Consider the following 12,268-nt stretch of genomic DNA (forward strand, 5'->3'; position numbering starts at 1 on the left):
ATGCACACAAATACACCCACCTATACACACACACCTATCCACATACACAACCTATACACACATACCTATACACAAACACACCCACCTATACAAACACACACCTATACAACACACATACACACACCTATGTACACACCCACACACATACACACTGATATGCACACCTATACACACAAACACACCCACCTACACACACAAACACCCCTATACACACACCTATACACACCCACACACCTATACACACACCTATACACACACTACACACCCACACACCTATGCACACACACTGATACACACCTATACACACACACCTATACACACATCTATATACACATACACCGATACACCCACACCTATACACACACCTATATGTACAAACACCTATACACGCGCACCTGTACACACACACGTGTGCAGTGCATAGAGCAGGGTTGGTGTGGACCTTTAGCCACAGAGCCTGAGGATGGGGGAGGCCTGAGCCCCCATGCGGGGTGTGTTATTTAGCCTGCTGTGGTTTGAATGTTTTCCTCCGAAACTCATGTTGAAATTGAATTCCCAGTGCAACTGTGTCTGGAGGTGGGGCCCCATGGGAGGGATTAAACTGCTTTACTTAGGGTTTCTGGGAATGGATTCTTTTTCTTCGCCCTTCCACCATGCAATGACCTAGCAAGAAGGCCCTCACCAGGCACTGGCAGCTTGATATTGGACTTCCCAGCCTCCAAAACTATAAGCCAATACACTTGTGTTCTTTATGAATTTCCCAGTCTGTGGTATTCTGTTGTAGCAGCACAAAAAAGACGAAGACTAAAACACTGCCCTCACAGTGTGCCACAGACTGGCGGCTTAAACAACAGAAATTGATCGTCTCACAGTCTGCAGGCTGGAAGTCCAAGATTAAGGGGACATTGGGGTTGGTTTCTGGTAGGGCCTCTCTTCCTGGGTTGCAGACAGCCACCTTCTCACTGCTTCCTCATATAACCATCTATCTAGGCATAGGCACTCCTGGTGTCTCCTCCTCTACTTATAAGGACACCAGTCCTGCTGGGATAGGGTCCCACCCATGTGACCTCACTTAACCGTAATTACCTCCTTAAAAGTCTGTTTCCAAATACAGTCACATTGGTGGTTAGGGCTTCAACCTATGGATTTGGTGGGGGACACAATTCAGTTCATGACAGAGGAAAATAGGACGGCCCTACCGTGGCTCAGGCTTAGCCTGTGTAGCTGAAGCTCTCCGCCGCTTCCCAAGGGCATGGGATGGAGCAGCTGCAACCCAAGAGGCTCTCGGCTGGCAGCCTGCCCCATGTGGGGTGAAGCCCCCACGCCTTCCCCCAGCCCTCTCTTCTAGATCTCAATTACTCTTTTCCCAGCGGTTGGCCGCCTCTTGGGTAAATTGTTCATCAGAAGATGCTCTCCAAAGCATGGGCCACACGCTGTTGTCATTGATTTCATTTTGATTATTCATATTAGTGGAAGCGCTGCTGCCTTGCCAGGGGCCATAATTAGGGTAAACATCTTGTACGAGGGCTAGGTCAGCATTGGAGTGGGCCCTGGGTTCCTGCGACGGCCACTCCCAGCCTCGGCTCTGCAAGCCGATCCTCACACAGGCCGCGCTGCAGGCAGCCCTGTCCGCGAGAATGCAGTCCCCGGCCTGTGTTTCACGGGGCAGCCGCAGGGCTTCTCGGGTAGCTGTAGGAGGACACCTTTCGAGGAGCCAGCATCCTGCTTCCCAGTGGCCAGTGTGACCATCCTGCCTGCCCCTGTCTTGTGGAGCCCCATGCTGGGGTCTGGCTTATCCCACCCCATGCCAGCCCTTTCTTCTCTCTGGTACTTCCCCTGACCCAGCCTTCCTAGGGATACAGGTCTCTCTCCACCACCTGAGCAGACCAGGGACCACCACCAAGGCTCCAACTATGGGGAGCTGCAGAGAGGGTCCCTCTGTCTGGGATTCAGCTCAGGCCATTCTGCCTGAGAACGGGGAGTCAGGTACCGCCCGGTGAGGTACAGTGAGCAGGAGGGGACAGATGTGACCCAGAGCCACCAGGACATTACCTTTCTGGGAATTCCTCTTTCTGTGCCTCCTCCCTTACAAGACATGTCATGACCTTACATGTCATGGGAGGTCACGTGATCAAGTGTACTTTTAACGCGGTTTCCCTTTTGCTGCTTTAAAAAGGGGAAGGGGCCGAGGGGGCGGCCGGCATGCGTGGCTATTAACCTTCCTTTCATAAAGCGCTTTTTCCCTATAGAAATCTCCCTTCCCACTGATTCATTCCGTGTTGGGAAGCAGAGCATGACATGTTAAAAGCCGTCTTGATACTATTTGATATTCAGTGCTAACAACTCACCACCTCAGAGGAGGGGCTTTTCTCCACCCACCCACCCCCAACACCAGAGCAAGGAGGGAGACAATCTGCATATTGGATGTGCCAAGACAGTAGGTAATTTGCATTAAGCATCTAGAAACTCTCTGCTTGCAATCTGTCACCCTTCACTGGGTCTTCATTTTATAACCTTCACAACATAAGGAGGAGAACAAGAGGCAGAGAGAATGCGGCTGCCGCACCCCCATCAGGACTGGAGGAGAAACCTGGCCTGATCGGCGGTTGTCAGAGCAGAGGGGACCCTGATCTGAAATGCCAGGAGACTCTGCCAGCCAGGGGATTCAAAAGCCTCACTGTGCCAAGACCCAAGACCCTCAAGTGGGGTGTAGCCTGAAGGCCGAAGCCAGAGGTGGGGCTGCCCTGAAAACAGCTCATCTCCACAGACAGCCAAGTTCAAATTCAGCAGGGATCTTCCCAGAGAACATGTGGCCTGGCTTGGCAAGGGGCACCTGCTCCGAGTTCCCACAGGGAGAGGCTCCCGTGATGAGCTCTGCAGGGCTTTCTGCTCTTGGACTTGCAGTTCCCTGCTGAGTTTAAGCTTAGGACAGAGCTGCGTGTTCTCCCATCCTAACAGCATGTGAGACAGAGCTGCGTGTTCTCCCATCCTAACGGCACGTGAGGAGCCTCTGCAGAGCTCTAAAAAAAATACCTGGCACCACCCCAGACCAATGACATCAGAATCTCCTATCTAGGGCCTGGGTACAGCCAGAGTAGGGGACCCACAGCTGGAACAGACCACTGCCTGTGCAGCGGTACAGAGGAGAGTCTCAAATCCTGCCCTGTGGCCTCTGGAATGTGATTTGGGCTGTCACCTCCCCTCCTGAGCCTCTGTTTTCTTATCTGTAAAATGAGTCTGGAAATGTCTGTAAGCCAAGGAGTGCCCTGGGCATAGGGACAGGCCAGAGAGCCTGTGACCCCTCATCTTGCCTCCACCAGGTCCTTTCTGCAGTAATCTGTCTTCTGTATTGAATTTCTTGGTAGAGGTTTATTTAAGAAAAGGGTCCCATAGCTATGATGAGGTTTAAAAAGCCCCTGACCCGGGCCTTCCCTCCAGCTGTCAGGGACAAGGTGCTTAGGGGGATGCTGGAGAATTCCTCCAGGGAGCCCAAGATGAAAGCACTGTCCACCTGAAGAAAAGTGGGCTGTCAATGCTGCCACCTGCCTGCCTGCGCCTATCACATGTTCGCCGATCACAAGTTCTGAACATGGCGGCTTGGCAAACAGGTGCCACTCAGCCCCACCCATCCCCCTTAGTGACCCACCAGAATCCCAGGCCCCCTGAGAATAAGTGAAGATGCAGGAGGCAGAGGGTGCTGCAGACCTCAGAGGAGCCTCTTCAGAGTGAAGCAGAGGGGAAGGAAAGGGAGCGGACACCCGGGTCAGGCGACAGCACACACAGAGAAGGAAAGCAGCACCCTGAAGGTATTCCTGCCAGATCCCAAGCCTCACACATGGGTGATTTCCTTTGAAAAACTATCAGAGGCTGGGCGTGGTGGCTCACGCCTGTAATCCCAGCACTTTGGGAGGCCAAAGGGGGGTGGATCACAAGGTCAGGAGTTCAAGACCAGCCTGGCCAATATGGTGAAACCCCATCTCTACTAAAAATACAAAAATTAGCCAGGCCCGGTGGCAGGCGCCTGTAATCCCAGCTATTCAGGAGGCTGAGGCAGAAGAATCGCTTGAACTCAGGAGGCAGAGGTTGCAGTGAACCGAGATCGTGCCACTGCACTCCAGCCTGGGCAACAGAGCGAGACTCTGTCTCAAAAAAAAGAAGAAGAAAAGAAAAACCATCAGAGTTATAATTAAAGGGAGAGCTCTACACCCAGGAACAGAGGCTTGAGATGAATGGCCACCACAGAGATCTACCCGCAGTGTTCCGGGGCTGAGCCATCTGTGGATTTCACAGCAAGAAGCTTCCTGCCACAAGCCCAGTCCCCATAGCATCGGCCAGGCCCCAGGCAGGGCCAGCACTGCCTGCTGGGTGTCACAGTCATTACTGTCATCACCATCATCACTAGTGATGTTATGACAACAGCTACCCTTTTTTTGGGTATGCACAAAGTGCCAGGCACGTAGATCGTGTTTTCTCCTGGCCAGTTCTCCAGGCAGGAACTACTATATGCCCACTTTACAAGTGAGGAAACTGAGGCTCAGAGAGGCTAAGTGACTTGCCCAAATCCACACAGCAAGATCAAAACCTAGACTCAGACCAGGTACACACCTATAATATCAGCACTTTGGGAGGCCATGAGTTCCAAACCAGCCTGGGTAACATAGTGAGATCCTTGTCTCTACAAATAATTTTGTTTTGTTTTGTTTTGAGACAGAGTTTTGCTCTCATTCCCCAGGCTGGAGTGCAATGGTGCAATCTCGGCTCACTGCAACCTCTGCCTCCCAGACGATTCTTTTGCCTCAGCCCCCCAGGTAGCTGGGATTACAGGCATGTGCCACCACGCCCAGCTAATTTTGTATTTTTGGTAGAGACGGGTTTCACCATGTTGGTCAGGCTGGTCTCAAACTCCTGACCTCAGGTGATCCGCCCACTTTGGCCTTCCAAAGTATTAGGATTATAGGTGTGAGCCACTGCGCCTGGCCTCTACAAATAATTTTTTTTTAAATATCCAAGTGTAGTGACACATGCCTATAGTCCCAGCTACTCAGGAGGCTGAGGCGGGAGGATCACTTGAACCCACGAGGCCGAGTCTACAGTGAGTCGTGTTTATACCACAGCACTCCAGCCTGAGCAACAGAGTGACACCTGTTTCAAAAAAAATAAATAAGTAAAACTTGGACTCAAATCCATGTCTGAACCGAGCCAGCTCCTACCTGCCATGTCGACGCTCTCCTTGTCCCCCTACCTTCTAGAGCCCTTCACAGAACTGGGGCCAGTGCTGCGAGGGTTAGCGGCTGTCCCCCTGGAGCTGGTGGGAGAGGAGCTTCAGCCAAAGGAGGAAGGACATTGCTCTTGTATCGATAAAGCCACTGACCTCTCCGTATCTCGACCCTGTGCCCGGCTCCTCCGCGCCTGGATCCCCAGCACCAGCTCCAGCCCCAAAGCTGCGAATCCACTGCCTCTGAGCCTGGCCCCACTAGAGACAGCTGGATTGCTCCATGTGCCGGACTCAGGACTTAGCGACCCCTTGGCCGGGTCTGCTCCAGCTGAGAAAACTGCTCTGCTGGAAAAGTCGGTTTAGACTTCCAGCCCCCATCCTGCCAGGCAGGTGGGGAAACCCCAATCCCAACTCCAGGAACTGCAAAAGTGCAGGGAGGAAGGTTGAGCCCAGCTCCCGGGGTGGCTGTTCAGATGGCTGCCATCAGTCAGCACTGGGCACTGAGCTACCTGATGTCCAGGCCACGTGGGCCCTTCAGTCCCGTCCCCATCTCCCCTGGCCTCTCCTGCATCTGCACTCCCTTTGGGGCAAAGAAGTCTGGTGAGGGCAGGAAGCCAGAGTCTTACCCCCCAGGGTGGGGCCACCTCCCCACACACTCCTGGGAGAGGCATTGGTCCTCCCGGCTCGGTGCTTGTTGGTCCACCACCTCTATCCTGAGTCTCCACAAGAAGCTCACAGGCTGGGAAGTCCCTCAGCCTCCTGTCCACTCTCCTTCTGTCCTTGTTCCCTTTCTCTTCCATTCCAGCACCCCTGGAAGAGCCGCCTCGTGCACTCTGACTTTAGGGAAACAAAAGCAGAACTCTATGCGGTCCACTCCCTGGGCTGCACCATAGTGAGGGGGAGCTAAAGAGCTCAGAACCCCCGATGGGAGCAGGGGGTCTGGCGGGGGCAGCCTGGCCTCCCTTCCCCTCCTCCTCCCCTACTCATCAATTCGCCCCAGGAGCCAGCTCCCCAGCAGTGAGAGGGCTGCCCTCAGGGAGGGCCTGGGTCCTACCCCTTGGCCCCACCCAGGTCCCCTCTGCACCCACGGGCTCTGACAGCCCCCCTGCCTCTCTCTTCACAGTCCATGGCATCAAGTGGACCTGCAGCAATGGGAACAGCAGCTCAGGCTTCTCGGTGGAACAGCTGGTGCAGCAGATCCTCGACAGCCACCAGACCAAGCCCCAGCCGCGGACCCACAACTGCCTCTGCACCGGCAGCCTGGGTGAGCCGGGGCTCCCGGGGCAGGCGGGCGCCACGGGGACAGAGGGGCCCTACCAGGCAGCCGTCATGGCTGTCCTCTGTGGGAGTAGCCATGACATCTAGTGAGGGAGGAGGGGGACAGTCAGGGACTGGGCGACACCACCGCACCCAGCACAGACACAAGGCAGGCCTTCCGCCTCGTCCTGCCCTGCAACTGGCTGGCAGTCCGCTCTGGGCAGGAGGGAGCAGTGTCCAGAGGGACAGCTTCCTCCGTGGGGCAAGAACTGGGGGCAGCAGAGTTGGGGAAGCGAGGAGCTCTGGGGCTCGGGGCCTCTCTGTTCAGGCCCACACTCTTGGGCATCCTCTGCCAGAGGGCACTGGGGTCTTGAGGGAGACGTGCCCTGCGTCAGTGACACCACGCAGGCGCAACCTCTTTCTTTAACCTCTGTCTCCTCCAAGAACATGAAGCGTCCCGCGCTCTCCTTCCTAATGTGTCTGTTTTTCTGATAATGGTATTTGCTCTTTGAAATGTGTGTTCTCCACTCCCCAGGCTGACTTAATTAGATAGTCCCATTAGAGGGTCGTGTCACTTCTCTACGCAGTCTTGGTGCATTGAGGAGTCTTGGTGGTGAGGCCATAACAGGATCAGGGAGAATTTGCCCTTTCATCAAAAGTAAAGTGACCCTTATCAGATGAAATGAAAATGGTGAAAATATCCAATGGGAGGGAGAGAAAAGCCGTCCTGGCTGCCGGGGCTGGAGGAGCTGCCAGGGAGGCTTTGCCAAGCTCAGAAACGTTCGGCTCCTGAGGCTTGTACGTCTGAAATGAGGAGCAAGGGCTCTGTCCCTACTTAGGACCTAGAAGGATTTTTGTACCCCAGAGAGCTGAGGGTAGGCCTGGGCTTAGGTACCTTTCCGCCTCTGGAGCAGGGTCGAGAACCCTCTTTGGTCCTGGGGCCTGAGAGCTGGTCCCGAGACTGCATTTCCATCACCTCCCCATTGACCTCTGGTTGCCAGGCCCCAGGGGTGGCTCCTCACTGGGGCATGGCCTGAGCAGCTGTGGGAAGTTGGGGAGGGGAGGTGGGGCAGGATACGAACGTAGCCACTCTCACCAGGCTGATCCCCTCTTGCCAGCAAAAGCCCTTCCAGATGAGTGGTATCTGTCTCTGATGGCGGAGGGGACTTTCCTGGGTGTTGACATTCTCTCCACCTTCTCCTTCCCAACTTCCCATATGCTTCCTATTTGAAAAGAGCATCAAGGCCAAAGCCCCTCTGATCTTTGGAGGAGGGTCAAAGGGGCGTGGGACGGCCCCCGGGCTTGGGGTACGTGTCCAAGGGCTGAGAGTCTGTGGCCTGCCTGGGGTACCGGGCCTGGACTTTGCCAGGGACCCCAGCCGCTGTGGGGCAGGTCCACCACGGTCCTAGCTCTGACTCTCTTTTGTGTGTGCATGTGTGTGTGCACATGTGTGCCTGCGTGTGCGTGCGCGTGTTGTGTTCCGATCTCCGCAGGAGCTGGCGGCAGCGTGCATCACAAGTGTAACAGCGCCAAACACCGCATCATCTCGCCCAAGGTGGAGCCACGGACAGGGGGGTACGGGAGCCACTCGGAGGTGCAGCACAATGACGTGTCGGAGGGCAAGCACGAGCACAGCCACAGCAAGGGCTCCAGCCGTGAGAAGAGGAACGGCAAGGTGGCCAAGCCCGTGCTCCTGCACCAGAGCAGCACCGAGGTCTCCTCCACCAACCAGGTGGAAGTCCCCGACACCACCCAGAGCTCCCCTGTGTCCATCAGCAGCGGGCTCAACAGCGACCCGGACATGGTGGACAGCCCGGTGGTCACAGGTGTGTCCGGTATGGCGGTGGCCTCTGTGATGGGGAGCTTGTCCCAGAGCGCCACGGTGTTCATGTCAGAGGTCACCAATGAGGCCGTGTACACCATGTCCCCCACCGCTGGCCCCAACCACCACCTCCTCTCACCTGACGCCTCTCAGGGCCTCGTCCTGGCCGTGAGCTCTGATGGCCACAAGTTCGCCTTTCCCACCACGGGCAGCTCGGAGAGCCTGTCCATGCTGCCCACCAACGTGTCCGAAGAGCTGGTCCTCTCCACCACCCTCGACGGTGGCCGGAAGATTCCAGAAACCACCATGAACTTTGACCCCGACTGTTTCCTTAATAACCCAAAGCAGGGCCAGACGTACGGGGGTGGAGGCCTGAAAGCCGAGATGGTCAGCTCCAACATCCGGCACTCGCCACCCGGGGAGCGGAGCTTCAGCTTTACCACCGTCCTCACCAAGGAGATCAAGACCGAGGACACCTCCTTCGAGCAGCAGATGGCCAAAGAAGCGTACTCCTCCTCCGCGGCGGCTGTGGCAGCCAGCTCCCTCACCCTGACCGCCGGCTCCAGCCTCCTGCCGTCGGGCGGCGGCCTGAGTCCCAGCACCACCCTGGAGCAGATGGACTTCAGCGCCATCGACTCCAACAAGGACTACACGTCCAGCTTCAGCCAGACGGGCCACAGCCCCCACATCCACCAGACCCCCTCCCCGAGCTTCTTCCTGCAGGACGCCAGCAAACCCCTCCCCGTCGAGCAGAACACCCACAGCAGCCTGAGTGACTCTGGGGGCACCTTCGTGATGCCCACGGTGAAAACGGAGGCCTCGTCCCAAACCAGCTCCTGCAGCGGTCACGTGGAGACGCGGATCGAGTCCACTTCCTCCCTCCACCTCATGCAGTTCCAGGCCAACTTCCAGGCCATGACGGCAGAAGGGGAGGTCACCATGGAGACCTCGCAGGCGGCGGAAGGGAGCGAGGTCCTGCTCAAGTCTGGGGAGCTGCAGGCTTGCAGCTCTGAGCACTACCTGCAGCCGGAGACCAACGGGGTAATCCGAAGCGCCGGCGGCGTCCCCATCCTCCCGGGCAACGTGGTGCAGGGACTCTACCCCGTGGCCCAGCCCAGCCTCGGCAACGCCTCCAACATGGAGCTCAGCCTGGACCACTTTGACATCTCCTTCAGCAACCAGTTCTCCGACCTGATCAACGACTTCATCTCCGTGGAGGGGGGCAGCAGCACCATCTATGGGCACCAGCTGGTGTCGGGGGACAGCACGGCGCTCTCACAGTCAGAGGACGGGGCGCGGGCCCCCTTCACCCAGGCAGAGATGTGCCTCCCCTGCTGTAGCCCCCAGCAGGGTAGCCTGCAGCTGAGCAGCTCGGAGGGCGGGGCCAGCACCATGGCCTACATGCACGTCGCCGAGGTGGTCTCGGCCGCCTCGGCCCAGGGCACCCTAGGCATGCTGCAGCAGAGCGGACGGGTGTTCATGGTGACCGACTACTCCCCAGAGTGGTCTTACCCAGAGGTAAGCTGCCGCCGCTGCCACCACCTGTCACCTCCCCTCCCACCCACCTCGCCAGCCCCTGCGCCACCCTGCAGCTAAGGGATGCCTGTGGCTGCCCTTCAGAGGAAGCTCTGGACCACAAAGATGATGCTTTCCCCTCCTTGTGTCCCCACGGCGCTTGAACACCTCCGTCTTTCACGCAGTGGTTCTCAAACTTCACTGGGGCAAGTAGCTTTAAAGTCAGGGGGTCTTTGGCCGGGTGCCATGGCTCAAACCTGTAATCCCAGAACTTTGGGAGGCCGAGGCAGGAGGATCATCTGAGCCAAGGAGTTCCAAACCAACCTGGGCAACGTAGTGAGAACTGGTTTCAACAAAATATTAAAAAAATAAGCCAGGTGTGGTGGGGCCTGCCTATGGTCCCAGCTATTCTGGAGGCTGAGTCCGGAGGAGCACTTGAGCCCAAGAGGTTGAGGCTGCAGTGAGCTGTGGTTGTACCACTGCACTCCAGTCCGGATGACAGAGTGAAACCCTGTCTCAAAAAAAAAGAGAGAAAGTCAGGGTATCCTTGGAAGCAAAATGCTCCCCCAGCTCCAGCCAGAGTCGTCTGCCGTTTCTCAATTTATGTGTTGAGTCCATCTATGTTTTGCTTTGCTTTTTTTTTGAAAAGGGGTCCCAGGGTTGCTTAAAAAAATTCAAAAGTCACCATTGGCCGGGCTCAGTGGCTCATGCCCATAATCCCAGCACTTTGGGAGGCCAAGGTGGGTGGATCACCTGAGGTCAGGAGTTCGAGACTAGCCTGGCCAACATGGTGAAACCCCGTCTCTACTAAAAATACAAAAAATTAACTGGGCGTAGTGGCACGTGCCTGTAATCCCAGCTACTCGGGAGGCTGAGGCAGGAGAATCGCTTGAACCCGGGAGGTGGAGGTTGCAGTGAGTCGAGATCACGCCACTGCACTCCAGCCTGGGCGACAAGAATGAAACTGTCTTAAAAAAAAAAAAAAGAAAGAAAAAGTCACCATCATAGATCGTCTACATCCACTGCCTTCACCCTACTTCTCTAAGCCAAACAAAACCAAAAACCAAAAATCTCTCTCAAAACTGAACAGGGCACAGCTTCTGAAGAGTCATCCTGAAGATCCTTCTTAAGTAAACCTGGCCTTCTGCAAAATTCCACACAGGTCATAGGACGCAGGATTCCAACGTGCACCCTCCCCCAGCCCCCAGGCCGCCTCAGCTCCCGGGGATCTGACTTTGAGAACCACTACTCCAAAGACCAAAGCATCTTGCCTGAGGGACACAAGCAGTAGAGGAATCTCTGCTTTTTCTGTAGAGCAGAATAGCACAGGAAGGGGACAGAGTGGCCCAGGCTTTCCCTAAATAACCTAGTGCAGACAAGCACGTGCATCCTGACCTCTACCCAGCCCATCTGGGTGCTCAGGGACCAGCACATGCACCACGGGCCCTGATTGGACACTGCCTGGGAGGTGGCTGCCCACGGCCCACTCGGCTGGAGAACACCAAAGAAGGGGGCTCATACTTCCTCACCCTTCTTCCCCGCTGGCAAAGCTAAGAAAATCTGTGTACAGACACCCCCAGCTCTCCCATCCCCGATAGGAAGAGCCCGGAAGGATCAGACTGGGCTTCCTCTTGGTATAGGTTGGTGTGACCGTGTTTCTGACCCCCCTGCTGTTGTTGTTTTGTTTTGTTTTGTTTTGTTTTGTTTTTGAGAAGGAATTTCACTCTTTTTGCCCAGGCTGGAGTGCAATGGCGCCATCTCGGCTCACTGAAACCTCCGCCTCCCAGGTTCAAGCGATTCTCCTGCCTCAGCCTGCCGAGTAGCTGGGGTTACAGACACACCCTGCTGCATCCAGCTAATTTTTGTATTTTTAGTAGAGACGGGGTTTCACCATGTTTCCCAGGCTGGTCTTGACCTCCTGGCCTCCAGTGATCCGCCCACCTCAGCCTCCCAAAGTGCTGGGATTTCGGGCATGAGCCACCACACCCGGCCCTGACCTCCTAATCTTATCAGTGACTCTGAGCTCAATGGCACCTTCGGAGTGCCCACCACACCCCCCACCCCACCCCATGAAGGCCAGTTGGGCATCTTCCCCGTGCCCCCTGACCCTGGGCTTAAGAAAGCGATGCAAAGGGACAGGGAGGAGGCCAGGATCAGGGTGCGGGGGGACGGTCAGAGCTGTCTTCTGGTCCTGGCTCCTTGAGACCTGACTCTCTGGGGCTCAGTTTCCTTACGTGTAAATGGCTGAGAGGGGGTGGCCTCGAGGCACTCCCAGTCCTAGGACCTGGGAGATTTGGTCCTCGGGACACTTAGAGGCGCCCTGGAGCCCTTAATGTCTTGCAGAAGCCAGGAGGTGGGAGGAGGGTCCCCTCTTTTCCCGAGGTCCTGGCCTGTCAGACAGGCCCTGGGCTGGGTGCAGACCCACACCCCAGCCTCCTGGGTGTCCTGGCGAGTGGGAC

The 12,268-nt window shown here is 56.2% G+C and overlaps 1 protein-coding gene across 24 annotated transcripts in view, besides 2 other annotated features; it reads left to right on the top strand.

The window, feature by feature from the left end:
• Positions 1 to 12,268, top strand: part of CAMTA1 (calmodulin binding transcription activator 1) — a 984,253-nt gene that overhangs the window by 869,934 nt on the left and 102,051 nt on the right. For all 24 annotated transcript variants that reach the window (XM_011541084.3, XM_011541083.3, NM_015215.4 and 21 more), the window contains 2 exons: positions 6,339 to 6,479; positions 7,966 to 9,812. In XM_011541084.3, the coding sequence (XP_011539386.1) occupies positions 6,339 to 6,479; positions 7,966 to 9,812 (1,988 nt within the window). The remainder of the gene's footprint in view (positions 1 to 6,338; positions 6,480 to 7,965; positions 9,813 to 12,268) is intronic.
• Positions 1,582 to 2,121: an enhancer, noted in NCBI's record as "H3K4me1 hESC enhancer chr1:7717029-7717568 (GRCh37/hg19 assembly coordinates)". NCBI's record gives its function as "activates a minimal SCP1, AML or CMV promoter by ChIP-STARR-seq in primed H9 embryonic stem cells {active_cell/tissue: H9 hESC(primed)}" and the evidence as "EXISTENCE:reporter gene assay evidence [ECO:0000049][PMID:30033119]".
• Positions 7,822 to 8,323: an enhancer, noted in NCBI's record as "H3K27ac-H3K4me1 hESC enhancer chr1:7723269-7723770 (GRCh37/hg19 assembly coordinates)". NCBI's record gives its function as "activates a minimal SCP1, AML or CMV promoter by ChIP-STARR-seq in naive H9 embryonic stem cells {active_cell/tissue: H9 hESC(naive)}" and the evidence as "EXISTENCE:reporter gene assay evidence [ECO:0000049][PMID:30033119]".

This window comes from Homo sapiens, chromosome 1 (genome assembly GCF_000001405.40).
Source record: "Homo sapiens chromosome 1, GRCh38.p14 Primary Assembly".
NCBI classification, from domain to species: Eukaryota; Metazoa; Chordata; class Mammalia; order Primates; family Hominidae; genus Homo; species Homo sapiens.